The 24,804-nt window shown below is 55.5% G+C and overlaps 5 protein-coding genes and 1 long non-coding RNA gene across 19 annotated transcripts in view, besides 9 other annotated features; 2 read left to right on the top strand and 4 right to left on the bottom strand.

Annotated features, from left to right (window-relative positions):
• The window catches only part of MMP24 (matrix metallopeptidase 24), a 50,309-nt gene extending 44,577 nt beyond the window's left edge, over positions 1-5,732 (top strand). For 3 of the 4 annotated variants that reach the window (NM_006690.4, XM_017027597.2, XM_017027598.2), the window contains 2 exons: positions 303-569; positions 3,006-5,732. In NM_006690.4, coding sequence (NP_006681.1) covers positions 303-569; positions 3,006-3,343 — 605 coding nt within the window. In that variant the 3' untranslated portion in view covers positions 3,344-5,732. The remainder of the gene's footprint in view (positions 1-302; positions 570-3,005) is intronic. The other variant, XM_011528500.3, reaches the window with a different exon arrangement.
• The window catches only part of MMP24-AS1-EDEM2 (MMP24-AS1-EDEM2 readthrough), a 162,759-nt gene extending 155,903 nt beyond the window's left edge, over positions 1-6,856 (bottom strand). Inside the window, exons 1-2 of the mRNA NM_001355008.2 lie at positions 6,780-6,856; positions 739-879 (exon numbers count right to left, since the gene is read on the bottom strand). The gene's annotated coding sequence lies outside the window, so the exon portion shown is untranslated. The remainder of the gene's footprint in view (positions 1-738; positions 880-6,779) is intronic.
• Positions 2,433-2,502: an enhancer, noted in NCBI's record as "active region_17776". NCBI's record gives its function as "activates an Ori minimal core promoter by ATAC-STARR-seq in GM12878 lymphoblastoid cells {active_cell/tissue: GM12878}" and the evidence as "EXISTENCE:reporter gene assay evidence [ECO:0000049][PMID:35858748]".
• Positions 4,184-4,791: an enhancer, noted in NCBI's record as "H3K27ac-H3K4me1 hESC enhancer chr20:33863253-33863860 (GRCh37/hg19 assembly coordinates)". NCBI's record gives its function as "activates a minimal SCP1, AML or CMV promoter by ChIP-STARR-seq in primed H9 embryonic stem cells {active_cell/tissue: H9 hESC(primed)}" and the evidence as "EXISTENCE:reporter gene assay evidence [ECO:0000049][PMID:30033119]".
• Positions 4,792-5,399: an enhancer, noted in NCBI's record as "H3K4me1 hESC enhancer chr20:33863861-33864468 (GRCh37/hg19 assembly coordinates)". NCBI's record gives its function as "activates a minimal SCP1, AML or CMV promoter by ChIP-STARR-seq in primed H9 embryonic stem cells {active_cell/tissue: H9 hESC(primed)}" and the evidence as "EXISTENCE:reporter gene assay evidence [ECO:0000049][PMID:30033119]".
• Positions 5,086-6,856, bottom strand: MMP24OS (MMP24 opposite strand). 4 transcript variants are annotated; one of them, NR_149147.2, is made up of 3 exons: positions 6,780-6,856; positions 6,124-6,666; positions 5,086-6,031 (listed from the first exon to the last, which is right to left on the bottom strand). NR_149147.2 is itself a non-coding variant. In NM_001355004.2 (2 exons), the coding sequence occupies exon 2, from the start codon at positions 6,661-6,663 to the stop codon at positions 6,448-6,450; it is 216 nt and encodes a 71-aa protein (NP_001341933.1). In that variant the 5' UTR covers positions 6,664-6,666; positions 6,780-6,856; the 3' UTR covers positions 5,086-6,447. The 4 variants fall into 4 exon arrangements, 2 of the variants coding, with proteins under 2 accessions (NP_001341933.1, NP_001341932.1); NR_149148.2 differs by having other exon boundaries at positions 6,743-6,856; NM_001355004.2 differs by having other exon boundaries at positions 5,086-6,666.
• Positions 5,986-6,085: an enhancer, noted in NCBI's record as "active region_17777". NCBI's record gives its function as "activates an Ori minimal core promoter by ATAC-STARR-seq in GM12878 lymphoblastoid cells {active_cell/tissue: GM12878}" and the evidence as "EXISTENCE:reporter gene assay evidence [ECO:0000049][PMID:35858748]".
• Positions 6,206-6,375: an enhancer, noted in NCBI's record as "active region_17778". NCBI's record gives its function as "activates an Ori minimal core promoter by ATAC-STARR-seq in GM12878 lymphoblastoid cells {active_cell/tissue: GM12878}" and the evidence as "EXISTENCE:reporter gene assay evidence [ECO:0000049][PMID:35858748]".
• Positions 6,506-6,725: a silencer, noted in NCBI's record as "silent region_12854". NCBI's record gives its function as "represses an Ori minimal core promoter by ATAC-STARR-seq in GM12878 lymphoblastoid cells {active_cell/tissue: GM12878}" and the evidence as "EXISTENCE:reporter gene assay evidence [ECO:0000049][PMID:35858748]".
• Positions 6,816-7,035: a silencer, noted in NCBI's record as "silent region_12855". NCBI's record gives its function as "represses an Ori minimal core promoter by ATAC-STARR-seq in GM12878 lymphoblastoid cells {active_cell/tissue: GM12878}" and the evidence as "EXISTENCE:reporter gene assay evidence [ECO:0000049][PMID:35858748]".
• On the bottom strand, positions 7,640-13,506 carry EIF6 (eukaryotic translation initiation factor 6). 7 transcript variants are annotated; one of them, NM_001267810.1, is made up of 7 exons: positions 13,431-13,451; positions 13,115-13,226; positions 12,910-12,995; positions 9,388-9,563; positions 8,676-8,852; positions 8,300-8,481; positions 7,640-7,940 (listed from the first exon to the last, which is right to left on the bottom strand). In NM_001267810.1, the coding sequence occupies exons 2-7, from the start codon at positions 13,219-13,221 to the stop codon at positions 7,931-7,933; spliced, it is 738 nt and encodes a 245-aa protein (NP_001254739.1). In that variant the 5' UTR covers positions 13,222-13,226; positions 13,431-13,451; the 3' UTR covers positions 7,640-7,930. The 7 variants fall into 7 exon arrangements, 4 of the variants coding, with proteins under 4 accessions (NP_001254739.1, NP_852133.1, NP_002203.1 ...); NR_052023.2 differs by lacking the exon at positions 13,431-13,451 and adding an exon at positions 13,460-13,506 and having other exon boundaries at positions 7,652-7,940; positions 9,388-9,556; NM_002212.4 differs by lacking the exon at positions 13,431-13,451 and adding an exon at positions 13,460-13,506 and having other exon boundaries at positions 7,652-7,940.
• Positions 13,236-13,425: a silencer, noted in NCBI's record as "silent region_12856". NCBI's record gives its function as "represses an Ori minimal core promoter by ATAC-STARR-seq in GM12878 lymphoblastoid cells {active_cell/tissue: GM12878}" and the evidence as "EXISTENCE:reporter gene assay evidence [ECO:0000049][PMID:35858748]".
• Positions 13,518-14,068: an enhancer, noted in NCBI's record as "H3K27ac-H3K4me1 hESC enhancer chr20:33872587-33873137 (GRCh37/hg19 assembly coordinates)". NCBI's record gives its function as "activates a minimal SCP1, AML or CMV promoter by ChIP-STARR-seq in naive H9 embryonic stem cells {active_cell/tissue: H9 hESC(naive)}" and the evidence as "EXISTENCE:reporter gene assay evidence [ECO:0000049][PMID:30033119]".
• Positions 13,985-14,506, top strand: FAM83C-AS1 (FAM83C antisense RNA 1). The gene is made up of 2 exons (NR_109815.1): positions 13,985-14,049; positions 14,204-14,506. It is a non-coding gene; the product is annotated as an FAM83C antisense RNA 1 (long non-coding RNA).
• On the bottom strand, positions 14,465-21,159 carry FAM83C (family with sequence similarity 83 member C). 2 transcript variants are annotated; one of them, NM_178468.6, is made up of 4 exons: positions 20,526-21,159; positions 17,525-17,692; positions 17,195-17,319; positions 14,465-16,706 (listed from the first exon to the last, which is right to left on the bottom strand). In NM_178468.6, the coding sequence occupies exons 1-4, from the start codon at positions 21,036-21,038 to the stop codon at positions 15,269-15,271; spliced, it is 2,244 nt and encodes a 747-aa protein (NP_848563.1). In that variant the 5' UTR covers positions 21,039-21,159; the 3' UTR covers positions 14,465-15,268. The 2 variants fall into 2 exon arrangements, with proteins under 2 accessions (NP_848563.1, XP_047295848.1); XM_047439892.1 differs by lacking the exon at positions 20,526-21,159 and adding an exon at positions 19,137-19,372.

Genomic DNA, 24,804 nt, shown 5'->3' on the forward strand with positions numbered 1-24,804 from the left:
TCGGGTGTCACTGGTAGCAGGTTTGGGGAGTGGTAGTGCATATGCAAAGTCATGTAAGTGGCTGAGATCACCAGAGAGGAGAGAGGAGCAAGTCACATGAACAAAAGAGGGTGGGACTCGGAGCCCAGGCAGCAGAGGCAAGTTGTCCAGGATCTGTGACTGGCCTCAGGCTTCGTGCCCTTCCCAACTCTAACTGGGCCAAGGGGCTGAGGGCATCAGACTGTTTTCACCTGACACCCTGAAGATGGGCAAACGGCACTGAGTGACTGGGGAAGCTGATCCTGGGCTCCTCTTGGCCACAGGTGACAAGTATTGGGTGTTTAAGGAGGTGACGGTGGAGCCTGGGTACCCCCACAGCCTGGGGGAGCTGGGCAGCTGTTTGCCCCGTGAAGGCATTGACACAGCTCTGCGCTGGGAACCTGTGGGCAAGACCTACTTTTTCAAAGGCGAGCGGTACTGGCGCTACAGCGAGGAGCGGCGGGCCACGGACCCTGGCTACCCTAAGCCCATCACCGTGTGGAAGGGCATCCCACAGGCTCCCCAAGGAGCCTTCATCAGCAAGGAAGGATGTACGTAAGGGCCGGGCCAGGGTGGGCATGGGGAGCCGGTTTTATGTGGTCCTCACCAGTGCCCACGGGCATACTCAGTGCCCATGGGCGTCCAGGTTTGAAAAAACACCTGGTGGCAGACAACTGCCTCATATCTACCCATGTTCACGTGGTCCATTAATTCACTTACCAGCTGCCAAGTCACACTTTTTCATCTGCAGGAATGATTCACGGCAGAGAGACGTTGTCATAGACTGACTTCATTCCTTCAGACAGCATTTCTCAAACACTTATCCTCAGTGTACTCCAGGGACGCCTTGAGTTACCCAATCTGAAAAGCAATGATGGGCATGCATGTTTCAAAGCCACTTTTTCACAGGGCTCGAGGGCAAGAAGATGGAAAGAAAACCTTCAAAAAAAATTTTTTTTTAAATTCTAAGAGATAAGGTCTCACTCTGTCGCCTAGGCTGGAATGCTGTGGCATGATCATAGCTCACTGCAGCCTCAACCTCCTAGTCTCAAATGATCCTCCTGCCTCATCAGCCTCCCGAGTAGTTGGGATTATAGGCACATGCCACTGTGCCTGGCTAATTTACATTTTTTTGTAGCAACAGGGTTTCACTATGTTGGCCAGGCTGGTCTCAAACTCCTGGCCTCAAGCAATCCTCCCACCTCAGCCTCCCAAAGCCCTGGGATTACAAGTGTGAGCCACTGCATCAAGAGAGAAACTTTTTATGTTTCCTGAACTCCTCCTAGAAGCCATGCTGGCCACCAGCCCCCACGACTGCCATCAGACACTCAGCCTGTCTCCCCACCAGCCTAGGAGCTTCTCAGGAGGAGCTGCTAGCCTGGCCAGATGCAGAGTGGGCCTCCAGGAGTGTTTGTTAAATAGATCTCCATTGATATGGTCAAAAACACAGACTCTAGAGCTGGACTGGCTGGGTTCGTAACCACCATAGTACCACTCACTATGAATCTGAGCAAATCTTTAATAAGTTTTCTGTTTTCTCATTTATAAAATGATAATAACAGTACCTACCTTTATATAATGGTTTTGTGAGGATTAAAGAAGACAAATTATGTAGCATACTTAGAAATAATGCCTAGCACACCATCCATGCTGTATATTTTAGCTGCTATCGTCATCATCATTGTCATCATCATGGGTTTCAGTTTATGTGGATTGACAGGATTCATTCACTCACTCCATAATAATAGACAGCTTGTGTGGTGGGAGCTGGGGACGTAGCAGTCAACAGGACTTGCAGACGTCCAAGTCTAGGGGCATAAAGCAAGATGGCAACAGACGCTATAAGGGAAAGACTCCCAGCACTTTGGGAGGCTGAGGTGGGAGGATCACTTGAGGCCAGGAGTTCGAGACCAGCCTGAGTAACATAGTGAGATTCATCTCTACAAAAAAAAAATACAAAAATTAGCTGGGCGTGGTGACATGTGCCTGTAGTCCCAGCTACTTGGGAGGCTGAGGCCAGAGGATTGCTTAAGACCAGGAGTTTGAGGCTGCAGTGAGTTACAACTGCACCACTGTACTCCAGCCTAGGCAATGGAGTGAGACCTTGTCTTAAAAAAAAAAAAAAAGGAAATAAATGCTGGGAGAGAGCAACGAGCTAGAGGGGGCCGTGTTAGAGATGGCTGGGAAGGAGTCTCTGAGGAGGCTTCACTGCTGAGAAAGCCAATGGCCACAGCTGCTATTTGTTGGCTGTCTTGTATACCTGATGCTTTACGCACAAGATCTCCCTTTTTGGGGAGCCTCAGAGACAGGTGACATCAAGGACCGAGACCAATGAAAGCCCTAGCCACGGTGGGAAGCCAGCCAATGAGGACGGCCTAAGCAAGCTGCTTTGCCCACTGGCTGGGCCGCTCAGGCTGTTGCTCGAGCCCTGGGGTGGTTGCCCAGGGAGTGATTGGCAGGGCTGCCCAGCCTCTCTCCCAGAAGGCTCCCAAAGGTCCTGCATCTGTGTTGTGAAGTGATGTGTGCCAAGCCAAAAAAATCCATAATTGCAGAGAGGTCTTGCTGTCAACACAAGGTGAAATCTTGCTCCCTGCCTCCCTTGGCTCAAGCAGGAGCCAGGCTGAGGCTTAATGGAGCCCACATGAGCGGGGCAAGGGGGACCTGTGCGCACAGTGTGACAGAGCTGTGACCCAGGCTTGCGTGCAAGGGGTCCTGTCTGGGCAGCACAAAGTGAACCATGTCCCAGTTCTCCCTGAAGCCCCTCTGGTTTCCTAGCACCCGTAGGATGACAGGCGGACCACTCCAGGTCCCGGGTGCCCCCCTCTGCAGCTTCTTACTCCATGACTCAGCCAAGCACTGCACCCCAAACCTCCAGGTGTGCCCACCTTGCCTCCCTTGCCACAGTGCCTGTGCCCTCCTTTTCACACTGCCCCAGAGCAGGTGCCGGAAGTGTCTGGGAGTGGTGATGCTGGGCTGTATTTCTGCAGATTACACCTATTTCTACAAGGGCCGGGACTACTGGAAGTTTGACAACCAGAAACTGAGCGTGGAGCCAGGCTACCCGCGCAACATCCTGCGTGACTGGATGGGCTGCAACCAGAAGGAGGTGGAGCGGCGGAAGGAGCGGCGGCTGCCCCAGGACGACGTGGACATCATGGTGACCATCAACGATGTGCCGGGCTCCGTGAACGCCGTGGCCGTGGTCATCCCCTGCATCCTGTCCCTCTGCATCCTGGTGCTGGTCTACACCATCTTCCAGTTCAAGAACAAGACAGGCCCTCAGCCTGTCACCTACTATAAGCGGCCAGTCCAGGAATGGGTGTGAGCAGCCCAGAGCCCTCTCTATCCACTTGGTCTGGCCAGCCAGGCCCTTCCTCACCAGGGTCTGAGGGGCAGCTCTGGCCAGTGCTCACCAGGGCCAGCAGGGCCCTAGGCTGGGGTCGTACAGCTGAAGTGGTGGGTGCATTGGCCTAGGCTGAGCGTGGGGCAGGGAATTATGGGGGCTGTGCCCCAGGGTGGGTGTCTGGCACCCAGCTGCCAGCCTTCTGTCCTGGGCAAACTACTCCCTACTTAAGGGAATAGGCCAGGCTCCATCCGGAGGCAGGGACCATGCCAGGAGGAGCCCCTGTGGTCACGGCATCCTGTGGTGTCCATGAGGTACCACAGCTCCACTCCTGGCTGGAACCCAGCACCCTCTGTGGGAAGCCAGCACTAGCTCTCATCCCCCATCCGGGAGATACCACCAGTCCTGGTCCCCTTTTGCCAACACCTGCTGGTCAGATGTCCCCCTACCCCCACCCCACTGTCCTCCAAGGCTACAGGACCCCTGCTTCTGACACAGTGAGCAACAAGCCTGGGTTTCCCTGCTGGCAGACGGCAGATCCCTCAGGAAACCTGCTCCACTTGTCAGGGTCTCTTCGGAGACCCAGGATTTAGGGTCACATGCTGCAGGCAGGGCTGTGGCCCAGCTGGGTCTGACAAGGACCCAGCTGTCACATCGTGAATATTTAAATGTCCTGTCACTACTGTCCCATTTTGCAAAGGCTGCTTGAGGCTTTAGGTGAACTAGAGGTGACTGTCTTGGTGATGAGGCCAGCATAGCGGCCCTCCCCCAGGCGACAAGGACCAAGGTGCTGCTAAGGCCACTCTAGCGCCCAGACACCCCAGTAGCTGAGCTCTGCTCCTATGGCTACAGAGCTGGGGCAGAAGCTGACCCCATTTCTGGAGGAAGATCCGAGTTTGTGACCGTCCTCCACTCCCCTCTATTGTCACTGTCCCCAGCTTTGCTCCAGTCTGTCACTTGCAGCCTGGAGCTCAGCCTCACCAGTTAGGTGAGGCAGAGATGGCTGCAGGGCCAACACTGGCAGAGCCTGGGAGTCCTTCGGAAGGGGACCAGGGCGTCTGAAGTGCTCAGTGCCCCCACTACTCTGAGGCCGACTCCAGCTACTCTGAGGCCGACTCAATCTCTCGGCTGGAAGCAGTGTTTTCCCAGAGCTTGGCCCTTGCTGACCTCGCTCACTGGGCCCATCTTCCCACACTGCTCTTAGAAGGACACCCCTACCGGTAGCAGCCCCAAGCTGAGGGGGCTCCCTTTTTGACCTTCACTGGCCCGCCCTTCACTGTCTCCAGCAGGAGTTCCTAGGGCTTGGCCTGCCTTGCTCCACAGTACGGCGGAGGCAGCCCTGCTTGTCACTGAGGAGCCCTAGACAAGGCCAATGGGTTCATCAATGCCCACTGGCTCTCTGCCAAAGCCAAAAAGGTGTCAGGCAGTCTCCAGCGTGCTGGCCGGGTCTCGGATGCCACCCCTGCTCACTGAGCCTGCATGGGCCTTGCCCCCGACCCTGTGGTCTCTGGGATTGGGGTCGGCTTACCCTGTAGCACAGACAGGGACTCCTGCTGCCCTGGGAGCTGTCTCAAGCAAAATCTCTTGTCCCAGAGGTGCCCATGTGGGTCCGCTGTGTCCCCTGTCATCATCCTTGTTTTTTCTCATTTTGGCCAAGGGCAGGCTCCCTGGGACAGGCAGGGAACAACTGCGGAGATATTAGTGATTCATAGGTTTGTACAGTGTTTTATACTTTGCAAAGCACTTTATTAGCTCACACCTGTCCACTCACATGAAACTCGTGTTAGGCCCTGGGAGGCCGACGGTAACTCTCACCGTGCCCTCAGATGAAGCACAGAGAGGTTGTTACTTGCCCGGGCCATCCAGTGGGCTGGCTGGGTCTTGTGTCCCCATCTGTGGACCCCTCTAGGGTCTGAGATGAGATGAGAAGTGTCTCCTGTATCCACCTCTTCCTGGCCTCCCTTCCCCCACTTCCTGGTCCCTGTCCACTCCTCAGGTTGGTGCTCTCACTTCTTGAAAGCTCTAGGCACCCCCGCCTCCCGCCAGGCTCCCCATTGGCTCCTGGCAGGCCAGCTGAGAATGAACAGGAGATGGAGGCAGGCAGCCCAGGCTGCAGAGGTGAGGGATGTGGGGCCAGGCCCAGAGGGCTCAGCCTAGAGGCTTCCAATCTCAGATTCTCCTGCCTGTGGTCATCTGTTTGTCCATCACCCCAGGACAGGGCAGACAGAGGGGCAAAGCACTGGGGGCCCCAGAGCCTAGCTTCCCCTCAGCCTGGGGGACATCACAGCATTTCAGTGTCAGTCACATTTTAAACTGATCAGCCTTTGTATAATGTTTTTTAAATCATTTCTAAATAAAACAGAAATACAGAGTGTGTCATTTCCCTGGGATGAGGGAACAAAGATCAGGTTCCAAGAGTAACCTTAGGACGCTCTGGGAAGAGAACCGGGTCCTTTGGGGTGTCTGGGAGCTGCCCACCCATCTCCTCTGCCAGACCGGCGGTCAGATAGCCTCCCTCTACAACAGGCTGGCCCTGGGGGCCCAGGGTTATTGGGGTTCCAGGAACACAGCCTGATGATGCCTCCTTACGATCCAGGATGGAGAGCAGCCCCCCCAGGAGTATGGGGAGGGTCACTGTGGCACGGGCTTCTCCATGACCTGGGACATGACCTGGGACACATAGTCAAGAGCACGGTTATCAGCAATACAGATATTAATAAAAGGCAGACGAAGTCAGGAGGTCAGCAACTTTGCGGGCTTACCAGGAGGCCTGTCCTGCCTCTGGAAGCCAGCGACAGAGAGGGATGCCCCCGACCCAGCCAGCCGGAGAAAGGGATGGGGTGGTCACGAAGGTCTGAGCTGGGTCTGGGTGTAGGCTGGGAAGCAGGCTGGGGTGTAGACTGCGAAGGCGGCCCTGCCGGGACTTCTTTCCAGTCCCCGGCGACCTCTTCGAATTCTCTGCTATCTCTGGGGAGCCTCGGGTGGGAGGGGGTGTAAGAGACGCAGGGACGTGGGGAGAGGAGACAAGGCAGGCAAGAACCACAGGGGACGGCGGACAGACGGGCGACATCCTGCGGAGGACGCCGTCAGTACCAGGAAGTGCAGGCGATGAGGAAGCGCACGTCGTCCAGCGGCCCCCACGGGCTGGGCTCGGGCTGGGGCTGGGGCTGGGGCTGGGGCTGGGGCTGGGGCGGATGCCGGGGCTGTTCCGGGCCCTCCGGCGCCGCAGGCTGGGGCTGGGGCTGGGGCTGGGTTTGCGCAGGCTCCGGGGCGCCGCGGCCGCCGCTTAGCTGAGCCCCCATGGTCTGCAAGAAGAGAAGCCCTTTAAGGTCTGGGTCGCCGGGACACCCCGCTAGGGCCCCGCCCCGGCTCTGCCCTCACCTCTCGCAGCCAGACCCGCGGGTCTCCCGGAACCCACCTCGGCGTCGGGAGGAGCTGGCGCCGTGACGCCACCACCGCGTACCGACCTCACCCTCCGTGCGTTGGAGCGGAAAGAAGGGACTCGACCCTGTGCTTCGGGGCGGGGCTCCGCGACCGTCCCCCGCCAATCCCGCCCCAGCGCCTCAAGGCCCCGCCCCGCGCAAGGGGACGGAATGCACCCCAACAGCCTCCAAGACGCCCAGGCCAGGAGGACGCTGGGAACCCGCTGCCCCGCCCCACGCCCACCCAGGAAAAGACCTGCAACCTCCATCCACCTTAGTCAAAGAATGCCCCGAAGCCAGATGCCCCAGAGCTCTCACAGGGGACTTGCCCAGCTCAGGGGAAAATCGGAACGGACTCTCTGCCTTTCAAGGCCAGAGAAGACCGGCGCAGAAGTCGGGTGAAAACTGTGAGAACTAGACCGGGCGCCGTGGCTCACGCCTGTAATCCCAACACTTTGGGAGGCCGAGGCGGTGGGTCGCTTGAGTTCAGGAGTATAAACCAGCCTGGGCAACACAGTGACTTCGTTTCTACAAAAAAATAAACGAGGCGAGAGGATCGCTTGAGCCCAACAGGTCAAGGCTACAGTGAGCCATCCTTGCGTCACAACACTCCAGCCTGGGTGACAGAGGGAGACACTGCCTCAAAAAGAAAAAAGAAAAAAGGAGAACTGTAGTGGAGAGTGTTTCTTGCCCCAGGATGAAGCCTCACATCCTGATGGTAGAGGAGAAGGGAATGGCGTGTGTGGAGGTGGTGAACTGGGTTGGGTGTGTGTTGTGTTCATCCCACCCTATCTTCCCAGAATGCTGGAACAACTGGAGAGTGCAGGGATTGTACACAGGCTGAGGGCCCCAAACATCACATTCAGAATGGCCCGGAGGGAACTGCACTTTAATGGGGTGGCACAGGACAGCAGAACCCTCAGCCAGCAGCCACAGGGCCTGCCAGCCAGCACAACAGAGCAGGTTTTTGCAGTAATGATAGATCCAGGCGATAAGCACAGGTGGAAAAGGGTTGGGTGCCCAGCCCCTCAGTCCCAGTGAGCTCTCTGCCACCTCCCTGCCAGCATCCGGTACAGATTGGGCGGAATGTGGAGAAGGTTGGCCACAGTCCAGAGCCAGGAGCCCATGGAACAACTTGGAAGGTGACTCAGGTGAGGCTGAAGAGAAAGGAAAGCGCACGGTCAGTAGCTGTTTCACAGAGCCCACCTCACTCTCAAGTGAGGTGCCTGCCTCAGCCCTCATCCCGGGACCAGCTCTGACAAGCTGCTCAAGCAGCTACTGCTCTAGTATCCTAGCCCTGAAAAACCACAAAGATGAGGATTAGCAGATGCTCAAGAAATATTTTTTGAATATGCTGGCTCTTATCTGCTCAGCAGTGTACAGATATGCTCTCACACTCGAGAAGCTACCAGAACAAACTGGTAGGCTCCCATTCTAGATGACATCTTTTCCCCATACTCTCAAAATGCAAGTTAACCCCCAACCCTGAGCAGAAGAAAGGAGAGGCCCCAGGTACCTGTCAATGAGGGAATCCCGCATGCTGGTGGCAATGGTGCTAGGCTGGGCTTCATTCAGCTTGAAGACACTCTCCACCACTGACAGCTCTGTGCTGGTTGTGTCCAGGCCACAGAAGGCACACCAGTCATTCACCACCATCCCAGCAGCAATCACCTCACTGCCTCGGTTCACAGTCCCCGCCTGCCAAGGGATGGGCTCAATGTGAGTCACGGCACCAAATTCTCTCCCTCCTCAATGAAGACTCTCCCCAAACCCTGCTCCTCCCTGACCTGCAGCCCCAGTCCCAAACTGTGGCAGGTAATGACCCAGACTCCCAAACACTAGGCAAAAGGATCTGCCTCGGGAGACGGGGTTCAGAGGACAGGAATGCTTACCACAAGGGGGACTTGAAGAAGAGAGGACAGCTCATCCTGGTCTTCAATTGAAGTCTTGGGATGCACCAGCCCTCCCTGATTGCTGAAGACACAGTAGCTTCCTACTAGCACCTGGTCGGCCACTGTCTGTCTGAAGACTTCCACCTTGAGCACATCTGCCAGAATTTCTTCTGTCTCCTGTCAATCAAAGATATTGTGTTCAGGGCTCAGAACTTACAGCCCCAGAACCAAGGTTCTCCATGCCCAGAAGCATCCAGGCCTTGGCTCCCTGAGCCCCTCATTTCTCCTCTGTACCTCATATGAAAGCCTCACCCAGAGAAAGGAGGAAGTACAGCTTAGAGCAGAGTCAAGGGCAGCTGTGAAGCCCCTAATATTCATGCATGCCCTGAACAGCTGGAGGCTGGTCTCAATATCACTTCTTTCCCCTCTCACCCACAGTCAAAAGTTCAACAGTCAATCACCTATCCTGGCCCAGGATGCAGGACTGGATGGTTCAATCTCCCCAATCATGAAGGATTCATACCCTCCCCAGCTTCTTTCTGACACTTGATAAGGCCTCTGTTATCACTATTCCAATGAGTACCTGAAACTCAAGAGCCCATATAGAAAAACCACAGGAGAGACCCCTAATTGCTGCCTGTTGGGAAAGAACAGTGGCTAACCACTGACTAGGATGGCCCTGTGACTCTTGGGTCAAGTTGGGCTGCCTCACCCTGTCCAAGTCTGGGTGGACCAAGGCCACGTAGTCATTGCAGGTGGTGACATTGCCCAAGGCTGAGAGCCGCTCCTCCACCCGCCTAATCTGCACTGTGTCTGGGAGGCTGTTGCGAATGTGTTGCAGCTCCTGGTCGGTGGTATTGTTGGGTACCAGGAGACCGTGCCTGTTCCCTGGAGAAACCCAAATTAGAGGGTGAATACACAAGATGCCTGCTGAGCCCTAGGGGCTGAGGATACCACTCAGCCCAGCCCAATCAGCTTTCCCAGGAAAGCTTTAGGCCCAGAGCCCAGCCCTCCAACCCACTGATCTGGAAAACACCCAGGGCAGGCCAGAGACCACCCAGGAATCCCAATAAATCCTGCCTACTTCACCATCACCAACTGGGAGGGAAGCTGAGCTCTTGGCATTAGCTGTATATTTTGCTACTTAAAAACTGAGCTGCCGGGCGTGTTGGCTCACGCCTGTAATCCCAGCACTTTGGGAGGCTGAGGTGGGCAGATCACAAGGTCAGGAGATCGAGATCGAGATCATCCTGGCTAACACGGTGAAACCCCGTCTCTACTAAAAATACAAAAAATTAGCCAGGCGTGGTGGCGGGCGCCTGTAGTCCCAGCTACTCGGGAGGCTGAGGCAGGAGAATGGCGTGAACCCGGGAGGCGGAGCTTGCAGTGAGCCGAGATCGCGCCACTGCACTCCAACCTGGGTGACAGAGCGAAACTCCGTCTCCAAAAAAAAAAAACAAAAAAACAAAAAAAACTGAGCTAACACTACACACATAGCAGAATGGCTAGATTATTATTTTTTAAGGCAGAGTCTCACTCTGTCACCCAGGCTGGAGCGCAGTGGTGCGATCTCAGCTCACTGCAACTTCTGCATCCTGGGTTCAGGTGATTCTCCTGCTTCGGCCTCCTGAGTAGCTGGAATTACAAGTGCGTGCCACCACACCTGGCTAACTTTTTGTGATTTTGTAGAGATGGGGTCTCACTATGTTGGCCAGGCTGGTCTCGAACTCCTAACCTCAGGTGATCCGCCCACCTCGACCTCCCAAAGTGCTACGATTACAGGTGTGAGCCACTGCCCCCAGCCAGAATGACTAAAATTTTTACAAGTCATCAATTCCAAGTGTTGGCAAAGATATATGGAGCAACTGAACTCTCATACTGAGACAGGAGTGTAAGTTGGTCAATCACTTTAGATAATTATCTGGCATCATCTGCAACTACTACTAAATAGTCACATAACCTGTGACTCTGCCATGCCACTCTTAGGTATCATATACCCAGTAGAAATATGTACATGTGTTCACTAAAAAAACATAGCAGCACTATTACTTTTTTTTTTTTTTTTGAGACGGAGTCTTGTTCTGTTGCCCAGGCTGGAGTGCAGTGGCACAATCTCGGCTCACTGCAAGTTCTACCTCCCCGGTTCACACCATTCTCCTGCCTCAACCTCCCAAGTAGCTGGGACTACAGGCACCCGCCACCACACCTGGCTAATTTTTTTGTATTTTTAGTAGACACGGGGTTTCACCGTGTTAACCAGGATGGTCTCGATCTCCCGACCTCGTGATCCGCCCGCCTCGGCCTCCCAGAGTGCTGGGATTACAGGCGTGAGCCACCATGCCCGGCCAGCAGCACTATTCCTAACAGACCAAAGTGAAAACTGCCCAAATGCACTGTCGATGGAATGGATGAATACGTTGTGATATACTTACACAAAACACACCATACAGCAACAAGAATGAACAATCTACAAATACACGCCAATCAATTTCTGAATTCCAGGTCACTCCCATCATAAAATACACAAGGACTAAGCTAAAATCTCCCTTGTTGTCAGAACTTGCTTCAAGTCCTAAGGGCATGGTTAGAGATCAGAGTATTTTAACTGAATAGGAAAATACTTTGAGGTCACTAGGCTTAAGTTTTTGTTGTTGTTGTTTTTTGTTTTTTGTTTTTTTTTGAGACACAGTTTCACTCTTATTGCCCAGGCTGAAATGCAATGGCACAATCTCAGCTCACCGCAGGGTGAGCTCCACCTCCAGGGTTCAAGCAATTCTCCCGCCTCAGCCTCCCAAGTAGCTGGGATTATAGGTATGCGCCACCACACCCGGCTAATTTCTGTATTTTTAGTAGAGACGGGGTTTCTCCATGTTGGTCAGGTTAGTCTCGAACTGCTGACCTCAGGTGATCCACCTGCCTCGACCTCCCAAGCAGGCTTAAGATTTTTAAAAATTAAAGTAAAAGTAAAAAAATAAAATAAACAGACTTCTAAAAGTGACCTCAATGAGCAGAACTAAGAAACAATGGGCAGCAGTAATGGAAGACAGATCCAGCTTAATGAAAGGACCGGCCGGGCGCAGTGGCTCACGCCTGTAATCCCAGCACTTTGGGAGGCCGAGGTGGGAGGATCACCTGAGGTCAGGAGTTCAAGACCAGCCTGGCCAACATGGTGAAACTCCATCTCTACTAAAAATACAAAAAAATTAGCCGGGTGTGGCGGGATGCGCCTGTAATCCCAGCTACTTGGGAGGCTGAGGCAGGAGAATCACTTGAAGAGAGTGTTGCAGTGAGCCAAGATCGTGCCATTGCACTCCAGCCTGGGCAACAAGAGCGAAAACTCCATCTCAAAAAAAAATAATAATAATAATAAAAAGGAAAGGACCAACGACCAGAATTAACAGTGCTGACAGGTAGGAAGGTAGGGTAGAGATGTGGTAAAGGGAATTTAAGATTCCAACGTAACTGAGCAGGAAGACCGCATATCTTAGCTAATCTTTACAGAGACAGAAATGGATGCTTAGAAAGAGAAAGCACCTTGCCCAGTCAGTGGCAGGGAGAGATGAGATACAAATCCTCGGCTGGGTATAGTGGCTCTCGCCTATAATCCCAACACTTTAAGAGACCAAGGTAAGAAGATCACTTGAGCCCAGGAGATCAAGGCCAGGCTGGGCAACACAGGGAGGCCGCGTCTCTACCAAAAATGTAAAAATTAGCCAGGTGTGGTGGCACGTGCCTGTGGCCCTAGCTACCTGGTAGGCTGAGGTGGGAGGATCACTTGAGCCTAAGAAGTTGAGGATGCAGACAGCTGTGATCTTGCCACTGCACTCCAGCCTGGGCGAAAGAGCAAAAATCTGGCCTCAAAAAAAAAAAAAAAAGAGAAAAATCCTTCTCCAACACTAGGAACTAGGTGTGGAACTTACTGAGTCACTTAGGTCAAGTCTCAACTTCCTCATCAGTCAAGTTAGGCCAGTAACTCCTACCTTCTAGTGTCTTTGTGACGAAGGAATGAGAACAGGAGTGAAAGCACTTTACATTATTTGTTATTACTATTATCCAGCAGCCTTTGCTAGAGGGTTGCCCCGATCTCCTGACGCTTGGCCTGAGAGATTCTATAGTGCCCAGAGATAACAGATGATACCCTGGGAATCCCTAGGTCACTCCGGGTTCCCTCCGGGGGTGTAATTAATGGTGCTTGGAGACCACTCCCTCCCTCGGCGTCCTCCACCTGCCTTACCCACACACATGCGCCCGATGATGCGGCAGCCGGCGATAGACGCGTGCACCACGGGGATGGTATCGGAGAGCTCGCCCTCGAACACACTGTAGGGACATGGACTCGGTGGTGGCGGGGCAGAGGGGCCGGCACCCTCCCACTGCCGGAGCTCTTGACTCCTGCGCACGCCTCCCCGCCACCGTAAGCCCCGGGGCTCCCGCCGCACCTGTAGAAGTTCTCTGAGCCTCCGATCGCTACCAGACAGTAGGTGTTGGTGAGCTTGGCAAAGCAGCCGATCTCACAGTTGTTCTCGAACGAAGCTCGGACCGCCATGAGGCCTAGGGGCGGCGGAGGCGGGAGTTCAAGGCCGGCGGATCCTTTCCCAAGTATCCCGGCCTCCGTCCCTCAGGCCCCGCCGCGACCCCGCCCCTCTCGGCCTCCCGGCCCCTCCGTCCTCGGGTCCCGCCCACTGGGCCCCCACCAGAACCTCCGGCCCTGAATCCTCTGGCCCCCACCCCTCCCGACCCAGGACCGGAGCTGACCCTCCCAGGTTCCCCTCACACCAGCTTACCAAGTAACCAGTAACAAGCTCCGCACGCGGCGACTGTACCTTGGACTCCCTAAAAAGGTTTCCGTTTCCACTTCCGTCCAGGGAGACTTCCGGGAGAGCCCGGCGCTCCCCGCCACGCATCCAGCCCCTCTACCTCCGGCCTCCGGCGGACTCTATGGTCGCGAGCGGTCTGGGCGCGACCCCGCCTGGCCCCACGCCTAGCCTGCTCGCGTTCATTCATTCATTATTCATTCAGGAGCTTTTTAGGAGCTGTCATCGACCTAGACCTCCGGCTGGTCGGTTGTGAGGCATGAGGGAGAGGAGGGGCCAGGAGTGTCTCGCGGAAGGGTTGATGATGGAGGTATTGATGGAAATGAAGCCGGAGGAAGGGCAGGTTTGGGGAAAGGGATGAGTCCAGCTGTGCCTTGAGGGACAGAAGTCCATGTCTGGAGCCCAGCAGGGGAGTGGAGTGCTGACGAATGAGATGAGGGGCTGAAGACGGGTGGACTAGAAGAGGCTACCCATGGAGAGAGTTCCAGGAGGCAGAAGTGCGGCCAGACCGAGGCTGGAGAAAGAGCGCAGCCAGAGACGGAAAGGCAGCCAGGCTGCAGGTGCTGGAGAGAGGGGAGGACTGAGGAAGCAGGGGCTCAGGAAAAGGCTGGAAAGGGGTCCAGGGTGGGCAAGGATGTGGGTGCTGGTTGGCTTCCACGATGTGCCTCTCGCACGGCCTCTATCACTCACTCAGCAGCCAACTTCTGTCCCCAGGATAGTGATGGGGGCCAAGGGCCCTGCTGCACACTTGGACAGGATGAACTTGGCCCACATTTTGTAGAATCTGCAAAAGCCCCGGGTTCTCTCAAAATGTCACAGTGGTAACTTGGAGCCCCTGGACTCCCCCAATTCCTCCTTCGGCATTCACCCTCCTCCAGGGGTTTCCCCATAATTGGCCTGAATGGTGCCCTTCCCATTCCCCCAACGTGTCCCTCCCATAACTCCTCAAAGTTCAGGATACACCAGGCGCTGTGATTCACAATAAAGTCTGCCTTTATTGATGTGTATCATGTTTACTATCCCGGGTAAGTGGTGAGTTCAGGAAAATGGCCCACAACCTGTCACAGCCTGTACTTCAAGAGACACTCAGCAAGATGATGACGACGACAATGATGATGATGATGATGATGACTCAGCAAGATGATGACGACGACAATGATGATGATGATAATGATGATGTGTGTGTGTGTGTGTTTCCGGGTATCCACATACTCTGCTCTTCCTCACTCATTCACCTCAGACCCACTCAGTCCTCTTTAGGGCATCTCTTTCACCTGATTCTCTCTACCAAAAATTTTTCTAACTCTCTCCTCCCTCTGTCCAAAACCTCCCCATCCTTCAGGGCCTGGCTCAAAGGCCACCTCCATCTCCTCTAAGAAAGTTTTCTGACTACTCCACCTTCTCCAGGACTCTCTGCCCTTTGTTTTCTAACACCCTCTGTAACTGGTTAACCTTTAACTTGATATGGCTCTGACCCCTTCTCCAGCAGCTTGTGCATTTCACCTCTGTCCCCAGGTCTGAGTGTGACCCACCTGTCAGCTCTACAGGCCCAGCACAGGGCTGGAAACACAGCCTAGATTCAAGAAGATACTAGTTAGGGTGTGTGTGTGTGTGTGTGTGTGTGTGTGTGTACACAAGAATCTTGAGCCCAGAGAGTGTGTCTGACCTGGGTTTCTAGACACCTCCCTTCCCCAGTCTGGGACCTGAGCAAGTCCAGAGTCTCGGTGGACAGAGGAGGGGCCTGCCCTTGCCAGTGCACCCCCGATGCCAGTCCTTTGGCTAGGACTCAAAGCGGCTTCGGAGCTGCTTGAACTTGGACTTGTTGTACTTAGTGATGAGGTCCAGTTTGCTGTGACCCAGGGTCAGCCGTTTCTCATCCCTGACCAGGTCACTGTTACCACCATTGAGATGGCCACCCTTGGGACCCCCAGGCTCAGTTCCCTGCCTGGCCCCGTGCAACTGATGATACTTGGTGATGAGGTCCAGCTTGCTGTGGCCCAGGGTTAGCCGTTTCTCATCCCCAGACCCAGCTCCAGCCGTGCGAGCAGGGCTTGATATCGGGAGACCATTGGGCCCAGGCCCCTCACCACGGAATGGGCCGAACTTTGTGATGAGGTCCAGCTGGCTGTGCCCCAGGGTCTGCCGCCGCTCATCTGGTGCCCGTCTGGCAGGTCTGGCTGAGGAGTTGGTTTCAAGGGGCACTCTGGAACCCTGGGCCTTGGGGTACTGCATCAGGAGGTCTGATTGGCCACGGCTTTGGTTTAGGGACAGCCTCCTGTCCTCCAGGGCCCGATCACCAGGTCTGAGGGAACCCAACTCAGGGGCACCCCCAGTACCCAGGGCTCGGGACAGGAGATCCAGCTGGCTGTCGGCCTGGCTTGGGGACAACCTCCTGTCCTCTGGGGCCTGCTCGCCAGGCCGAAGGGGGCCTGAGTTGGGGGTAACCCCAGAGTCAGGGTCTCCCACTTCTCGGGCTCTGGGGAAGGGGACAAGGAGATCCAGCTGGCCACGGCTCTGACTTGGAGATGCCTTCTTCTCCTTCTCCTCCACTGTCTCCAGGGTTGTGCCAGGTACCCATCGACCCCGCAGGGGGCTGGGCTCTTGGCTTCCTGGGAGCCCATTCTCTGGGAACCGGGACAGAGCTGGGGCACCCCGATGGAACTGGAGGAGGGGCCGGGAGCGAGGAAGCAGAGGTGACCCCACTGCCAAGGTTAAGGGGCTGGTACTATTATGGTTGAGGGCAGGGGAGGACTGGGACCATGGGTATGCCCCTAGCTTGCCGAGATTGGCCCTATAGAGCCCAGGAGGGGAGCCGTGGTTAGGGTCTGACAGTTGGCGATGTAGGGAGGGCTGGCCACTGGCCTCACGGCGGGCAGGACCCAGGGACGAGGACACCACACCCGTATCACTGCAATCACCACCTCCTGGTAGAGCGAGGTAGGAGGAGCGACCCATAAGCGGTGACTGCTTGATGCTGCTGAGGCTGGTGCTGGAGGGCAGGGACGACGTGGGGCTTGGGACATCAGGCCTGAAGGCTAGGGCCACAGGGGGAGGACGCAGTGCCCGGGGAGACAGCGGGTCCTCACCGCCACAGAAGCCCTCCACAGGCTGCGACTCAGCGTACAGACAGCGGAACTCCCGGTCAAAGTCTTCCACGATGCGGCCCCTCAGCTGCAGCACCATGCTAGTGTGGGCCTGGCTGCAAAGCCAGGTGAAGCTGGGGGCAGAGGGACAGGGGGGTCAGGAGGCAAAGTGCAGGATCCTGGGGGTCGGCAGGAGTCACAGCCAGGGGTGCATACCTGGTCCAGCACGCTAGACCCAAACCCCACCACCACGAGGGCTCACAGCGAGGGGCAGAGCTCCAACTCCAGAGTCTGTGCTTGCCCTAGCCCTGCTTAGTGTGTGACCTCATGGAGGCCCCAACTTCCCCATCTGTCAAATGGACTTGGGGGAGGTTCCCTGAAGTCACTCCAGTTCCAATGGGCATAGTCATTTTCTATACCAAGGGTATTAAAGTAATCATTCCCCTAGAGTGAGCTCCTCCAGGGCCGATGCCCCCGACACCCTCCCCTGAGCCTGGCATGATGCCTGGCACATGGCAGGTACTCAGCCCGTGTCCGAAGGAAAGGATGAGTGGAGGGAAGCTCAGAGCTGCCAGCCAGTGATGCAGCCCCAGGCCCCCCTTGCCTCCTCGTGCCTGCTCACCTGTAACTGCCCGCCACCACTTGCTCACAGTCAATGAGGACGAACTTCTCCAGGGCCTGCCCCGTGAAGCGGCGGCCAGCCTTGCTGCAGTATGTGTCCCCACACGTGCTCCGCACACGCATGTTCTAGGTGGAAGTAGGTTGGGGGTGACCTTGAGAGAGTGAGGCTCAAGCCATGTCTCTGCCCCATGGGGTCTCTAACCCCAGACAGCTAAGGGAACCCACCCCCCACTCCCAGTGCCCCCCAGTGCTGACTGGCCACCCACTGGCTCCCCTGCCCTCCCTGACTCCCCGCCCACACCCCTGGTTACTGCCCCTGGTCCTCACTGACCGGCAGGTGCTCCCCATTGAGGTCCATCTTGTAGCACATCTCCAGGAAGTGCCTCAGGTGCTCCTGGGCAAGGAGCAGGTACACAGGGACACCACGCCGGCTTGAGGCCTCCATGAGGTCACACAGAAGCTCCATGTCAGTGAATATGTCCATCACCACAGCCACCACCTGGGTGGGGGGAGGCACACGAAAGCTCAGCGCTGCCCAGGGCACTCCCCACATCCAGCCAAACCTGGGGCAGGAAACTGGGCGCCGGGAAAAGAGTACTGGACTGAAAATCAGGAGGCCAGAGCCTTCAAGAGCAAGTGAACAGGAAGGGCACTTAGCAGTGACCTAGCCCAGGGCTTCTTAACTTGGGCACAGGCAGATTTGACTGTCTTCTTTTTTTTAAGAGTCAGTGTCTGTCTCACTCTGTTGCCCAGGCTGCAGTGCAGTGGCGTGATCATAGCTCTCTTCTGCCTAGAACTCCCAGGCTCAAGCAATCTCCTCCCAACTCAGCCTCCCAAGTAGCTGGTATTATAGGCATGTGCCACTATGCCTGGCTAATTTTCTTTTCTTTTTTTTTTTTGAGACAGAGTCTCACTCTGTTGCCCAGGCTGGAGTGTAGTGGCGTGATCTCGGCTCACTGCAACCTCTGCCTTCTGGGTTCAAGCGATTCTCGTGTCTCAGCCTCTCAAGTAGCTGGAATTTCAGGCATCCACCACCATGCCCAGCTAATCTGTATTTTTAATAGAGATGGAGTTTCACCATGTTGGCCAGGCTGGTCTCAAACTCCTGACCTTGTGATCTGCCTGCCTTGGACTCCCAAAGTGCTGTGATTACAGGCGTGAGCCACCACGCCCAGTCGCTAGTTTTTTTTTAATTCTAATTTTTTGTAGAGATGGGGTTCTCACAAGCTGGTCTTGAACCCCTGGCCTCAAGCGATCCTCCCACCTCAGCCTCCCAAAGCACTGGGATTACAGTCAAATCCCAGCCCAGATTTGACTGTCTTGAACCCCTAGCTGTTTGAAAGCATTTGTGTGCATCCTTCTGTGCACCGAGTGTTTATCCATCATCAGATTCTCAAAGATGACTGTGGATCAGCTGTGCTAGTCCAACACTCCCTCTGCACTGAGCCCCAGATGGGACAGCAGTGAGAAGGAGAACCCAGACCCCAATTCCCAGGCAAGTTCCTGGCACTCCCCCGACTAACTCCAGCCCAGCTCTGACCCAGGGACTGTCTGTCTGAGGCTCCCTTCTCCAGGGTCACAGCTACAAGCCACTTACTGGGGTCTTCGCTGCCCTTTCCCAGTCCTGCCTCAGTTTCCCTGTGAAGCCACAGAGGTCTGGTGTGACCCCTTACACTGCAGACTCCCTTACTTGCACCCATGCCAAATGGATCCAAGTTTTCTGCTCAGTTGAGGGCTGGGCTGGGGCTTGTGCCTCCATCCCATATAAAGGGCTGCCTCAAAGAGGCCCCTGAAACCTTCTTGGCACCTCCCAGCCCCCAGCTGGCCTTTCTTCCCATGGCATATATCTGCTATGAGAGTCTTCTCTCCCAGGCAGGGCCGAGAGGCAGGAGGTACAGAGCATAGCACTCCAGCTCTGGAGTCAGAAAGAACTGGGTTCAAACCTGGACTCTATCACTTCCTGGTGACACAGCTTTGGGTGAGTCCCTTCACCTCTGGAAGCCTCACCTTCCTCATCTGTTAAATGGAGATAATGATAGCCATGTCTCAGAGTTACAGGGAATTAAATGTGAAAATGCTCAAGACATAACAGAGCTCTATAAACATTGGGCTGCAGGGCAACGCAGCATTTCCCAAGGTCACTAGGAGTCATGACAGCCCAGTGCACGAACCTGGCTCCTGACCCAGGATAGAGGGGTCTAAATGGGGGCTGAGAAGGCGAGGCACTGGGGGATGCCCTAGTTCACAGCACAGGCCTGGCCAGGGTGGGGGAACAAGGACAGGCAGGAAGATCAAAGAGGCAGGGGTGAGGAGGACGACAGCAGCAGCCTCACTAATAACCCCATTCCTGATGCCAATCAGGCCTGGCCGTCCCCTGCCTGGGGCACAGGAAGGCTTGCCAGGGAGGCTCTGGAAGTACCGGTGGGATCCCAGCATCCTGGCTTCCCATCTCTGCAGCAGGAGCCTAACTCTCCCTCAAACCCTGCCAGGGATCATCTCGTCCATTCCCCTGGAGTCGGAGGCCAGGGCTTCAGAAGGGAAGCTGTGCTCGTGTGTGGCCAGAGCCTTTCTGGGTGCTGACCACCCCTACCTGCCCTCCCAATTCTCTTTCTCCTGAGCTCCCGCTCCCCATCACTGAGCCCAGCAGCCTCCTCTCCTCCTTCCTCCTTGGTTCCAAAGCCCAGCCCTCAAGGCCACGCCAAAGAGGCCCACACGCTGGCCCCTTCCCCTGCTTCAGGCCCAGCTGCAGATGTGGTGCAGGAGGGTAGGGGGCAACTAGGGACCTGAGCCAGCAAGGAGGGCCGGACTGGTCCCCAGGACCCAAGTCAGAGAGCCCCTGTCTCCCCAAGCCCTGAGCTCTATGTCACCATATGGACCTCCCTGGGCAAGTCCCAAGCCCCTCTCTGGCCTCAGTTTCTTCTTCTATAAGTGAAGGAGGTGACTCAGATGTTCCCCAAGGTTGGAGTTCTTAGTGTGGGGATCATAAAACTTTTTGAGAATCTGATTTAAGGCAGTGGAGCATCTTCCAAGGTAAAGATGCAGCGAGGACTCCTCCCTCCAACCTGCACCACTTCGTGTGCATTTCAGGGGATTGTGGAGTCCCTGACACCCATGCCCTGTTCTATGCTCATCCATACTATTCCTGGGTACCAAGCAGTTGCCAAGGTAAATATGGGATGTCCCCCTTCTAGGAGTTTGCAATCTAATAGTGCCAGAGGTGCTGGTCCTCATTCTGCCCCTAAGTCGCTGTGTGGCCTTGGGCTGGTCCCTTCCCTCTCTGGACCTCAGTTTCCTCCTCTGTGAGATGAGTGATGGAGAGATGAGGCCCTTACCGTGTGGGCCTGGCTGAAAAGGAAGCGCAGCAGGTCCTTGATGTTCTTGGCCTTGTCCCTCTGGAAGTGGACCACAGCCTGGGTGGGGCTGAAGCCTGTGGCCTGTGGCACCTCGGGCCAGCCCAGGTCCAGGTCTGGGGGGTCTATGTCAGAGGCCATGGGGAAGTAAGTCCCTGAGGTGACTTCAGAGAGCAGGCTGAGGCGGTCTGGCCCGGAGGCCTCCTGCCCCTGAGCCTCGCTGAGCTCAGGGCCCCCGCGCACATGGCTGGTCATGTAGTCCACATCCAGGGCGCTCAGGAAGGGCAGCTCCCGCTCCTCGGAGATGACCCGCAGGTAGGCAGCCTCACCCCGCTCCAGGAGGGCGTCGGCCGCCAGCCGAGCCGCCTCGCTGTGCCGCAGCACCAGCGGTGAGCTCTCCCGCCACCACGGCAGCTTCAGCTCTTCCACCCGGCCCCGCAGGGGTCCCGCCATGCCCTGGGCTCCCAGGACCCCAGGCCCCGGGCCTCCGAACATGCCTGCCACGCGGCTGCCTCACCCGCCGGCAGGGCCCATGGCCCGCACGCTGGGCTGGCTGCAGCAGGAAGAGGAGACCAGCAGAACCGCCTTCTGCCCGCCCGCTCGCTGTGTGTGTGGCAGGGCCCCCAAACTGTTGCCACCCTAAATCAGAGCCACGCTCCACCCTATTGCCCCTGGCCTCTGGAACCTGTCAGGTCAGCCCCACCTGTCTGCCTGTGTTGGGACTCGCCTGCCCAGGGAAGCGGCAGTGCCAGGCCCTCGGTGCACACTCCTGCCTCCCTCTCTTCCTCCCAGCAACGCCGCCCCATCCCCACCAGGCTCCCAGCAAGTCTCCAAATGCTGACTTCCCGGGACCCACAGAGGTTGAATTACAGCCAAGAGGGGCCCAGGCGACTCAGGAACACACACTCACACGCACACGCACACACACTGCAGGTGGGTGAGCGACTCAAGACACCCAGGAAAAGACATGAACACCCATGCAGATGGACACACTGACAACTGACCGATACACAGACATGGAGTGTGGGCTGACACAGACCGACCACACATTGTAATCACATCCACTTGCATAAACTCTTCACCCAAACGCCGATGTAGAGACCGGCCATGACCCCCACAACACATACCACAGTGGATAGCACGTGCCCTGGCTCAAGTCTGCAAGGCCCTGAGAGCTGAACGACTGTCACATGGAATATCCAAGGACATCAACGCTGGTCTGTCCCCCAGCCAGCCCTCTTTTTGCTCCCATAATCGTCCTGCCACTCTCCATCATCTTAACTGTGGTGCTCACAGCCCCCTGGCTCTCTCCCACCCCGGCTCGGAGCTGTCCTTCAAGAACCTAGAGCAGTGGCTCTCACCCTGACCCCAGGGGTGGTGAGAGGTGATGAAATGCAGATCCCCGGGCCCCACCCTCCTGGAAATTCTCATCCAGAAGGTGTCCGTAGGCTTCTGGAGCTTGTCTTTTTTCTTTTTCTTTTTGAGATAGGGTCTTGCTCTGTCACCCAGTCTGGAGGGCAGTGGCGCAATCACAGCTCACTACAGCTGTGCCTCAGTTTCTCTGGACTCGAGCGATCTTCCCACCTCAGCCTCCTGAGTAGCTGGGATTACAGGTGCATGTTACCATGCTCGGCTACTTTTAAAATTTTTTTAGAGATGGGATCTCACTATGTTGCCCAGGCTGATCTTGAACTCCTGGCCTCAAGCAATCCTCCTGTCTCAGCCTCCCAAAGTGCTGGGATTACAGGTGTGAGCCGCCACACCTGGCCATTTTTCTTTTTTAATTGAGACATGATCTTGCTCTGTCACCCAGGCTAGAGAGAGCAGTGATGTGATCATAGCTTACTGTAACCTCAAATTCCTGAGTTTTTAAACAAGTGCCCAGTGCACTGTGGGCAGTGGGCTAAGGCCCACCCCTGAGACATGCTGTTCCAGATGGCTGTGCTTGCAACACCCTTAACTCCAGGGATGTTCTTGGCCTGGTGGTGGCCAGACCCCAGCCTTCTTCCCCTCCTCCAGGGCTGAGTATGAAAATGGTTGGAAGGTTGTTTCAGAGAATGGGCGGACACACTGCAAGGTCAGGAGGCAAACAGGGCAGGTAGATTTCTGACCTCTGCCCCAACAAAGATTAAAGTCCTGGAGCATGTACCGTGTGTCCTTCGGAGGATGGTGAGCAGCTTTGCTCTGGGGAAGGGGGTGAGCAGGTGACAGCTGCAGCTGGGGAGCCAGGCTAGGCAGAAGCGGTCACCACCTTTCCACGGAGGCATGAGGTCCAGCGAGGATGGCGGGAAGCGCAGAAGACCTAAAGCCGTGCCTCGCAGCCTGTTTAGCACTAAGCGCACTTGGTTTATCTGGTCTGCGATCATGTCCGGAACACAGGGTCTTCTGTGTCCAAAGAACTTGACACACATATAGTGGGAGGGAGCTGGGTGGGATTTAGAGGTTCCGGAGTTGAGCTGAGCCCTAGGACCAAAGGTGAATGGGGCTAGGGCTGTGTCTTCAAGGACCCTATAAGTGAAGGGCCTGGGGGAGCATGGGGGAGCCACAGGTCAGGAGTTATGGCCTACTCCATCCCATCCCAGGTGCAGGAGCACCGGGCACTCCAAGGAGGCCCTTCCATGGGGGTGAGGAGGCTGCAAGAGGGGCAGAAGGTTGAGTAAACAAAGCCAGACCGTGGGAGGGTGATGAGCTGTGGGGGCAGCCGAGGTGGCAGGGCCATCATTAGGGCCTTATCTCCAGATTTGTTTGAAGGGGAGGACCAACCAGGGTCTTATCTGGGTGGTAGAAGTGCTCCCGGGAGGGAGGGAGGCATGTTTGCGTGTCACTGAGTTAGTTTTGTTTATCTTGCAGTGTGTATACATCTACTTCAGGTACATATCTTTGGCTCTGTATCTTTTAATTGTGGTAAAATACGCATAAAATTTGCCTTTAAAAAATAATTCGTGGCCAGACGCTGTGGCTCATGCCTATAATCCCAGCCCTTTGGGAGGCCGAGGTGGGCGGATCACCTGAGGTTGGGAGTTCAAGACCAGACTGACCAACATGGTGAAACCCCATCCATCTCTAATAAAAATACAAAAAGTAGGTGGCTGTGGTGGCAGGCGCCCATAATCCCAGCTACTTGGGAGGCTGAGGCAGGAGAATCGCTTGAACCTGGGAGGCAGAGGTTGAGGTGAGCTGAGATTACGCCACTGCACTCCAGCCTGGGTGACAGAGCGAGACTTCATCTCAAAAAAAAAAAAAAAAGAATTAGAGATGGAGTCTTGCTCTGTTGCCCAGGTTACTCTCAAACTCCTGGCCTCAAGCGATGCTCTTGCCTCCGCCTCCCAAAGTGTTGAGATTACAGGTGTGAGCCACTGCACCAAGCCAAAATCTGCTATTGTAACCATTTTTAAGTGGTACGCTTTAAGTGTCGTAAGTGCATTCACACTGTGGTGTAACCCTCACCACCATCCATCTCTAGAACTCTTCTCACTTTGCAAAACTAGAGCTCTGTACCCACTAAACACGAATTCCCCATTTCCCCCTCCCCCAGCCCCTGGCGCCCACTATTCTGCTTCCTGTCTCTATGAATTTGACTCCTCTAGGTATCTCATTTAAGTGGAATCATACGGTTTTGTCCTTTTGTGACTGGCTCATTTCACGTAGCTTCATGTCTTCAAGTTCCTTCACATTGTAGCGTATGTCGGAATCTCCTTCCACTTTAGGCTGAATAACATCCCATTGCATGTATGTAGCATGTGTGTAGCACATTTAGCTCATTCCTCCATGGATGGATGCCTGAGTTGCTTCCACCTTTTGGCTGTTGTAAATAAGGCACAGGTGTACAAATTTGGCTCTGTATTTTTGTATACTTCCCCCCACGCCCAGGTTTGTACTAGATTCCTTTTTTGTACATAAGAAACCACTGAATATTGGCAATTTCATATGGTTTGACTAAATATATACAGGTGTACCTATGCAGAACTGTACCTGTGCTTGTATGTGTGTGCACGTCCTGTCTGTGATGTTTGTGTGCCCGTGTGGCACGGCAGTGTGCATGGACCTGTGTGTGCATGTGTGTCTGGGTGGCGGGATAGTCCTTGAGTCGGACTCTGTGTTGCGGTACTGGGGCTGTGTGTACAGGAAGCACAATGGAGAGGGGCAGGGGTGGGAAGACTTTGTTGAAAGGCAAGGGGTTCCAGTGGATCCCGGACATCCTGATAATACTTGTGTGCAAATCAAATCAAATCCCCCCAGGCTGCGGGACCAGCTGCCTCTC

The sequence above is a fragment of the Homo sapiens genome, chromosome 20 (assembly GCF_000001405.40).
Source record: "Homo sapiens chromosome 20, GRCh38.p14 Primary Assembly".
Lineage (NCBI taxonomy): Eukaryota > Metazoa > Chordata > Mammalia > Primates > Hominidae > Homo > Homo sapiens.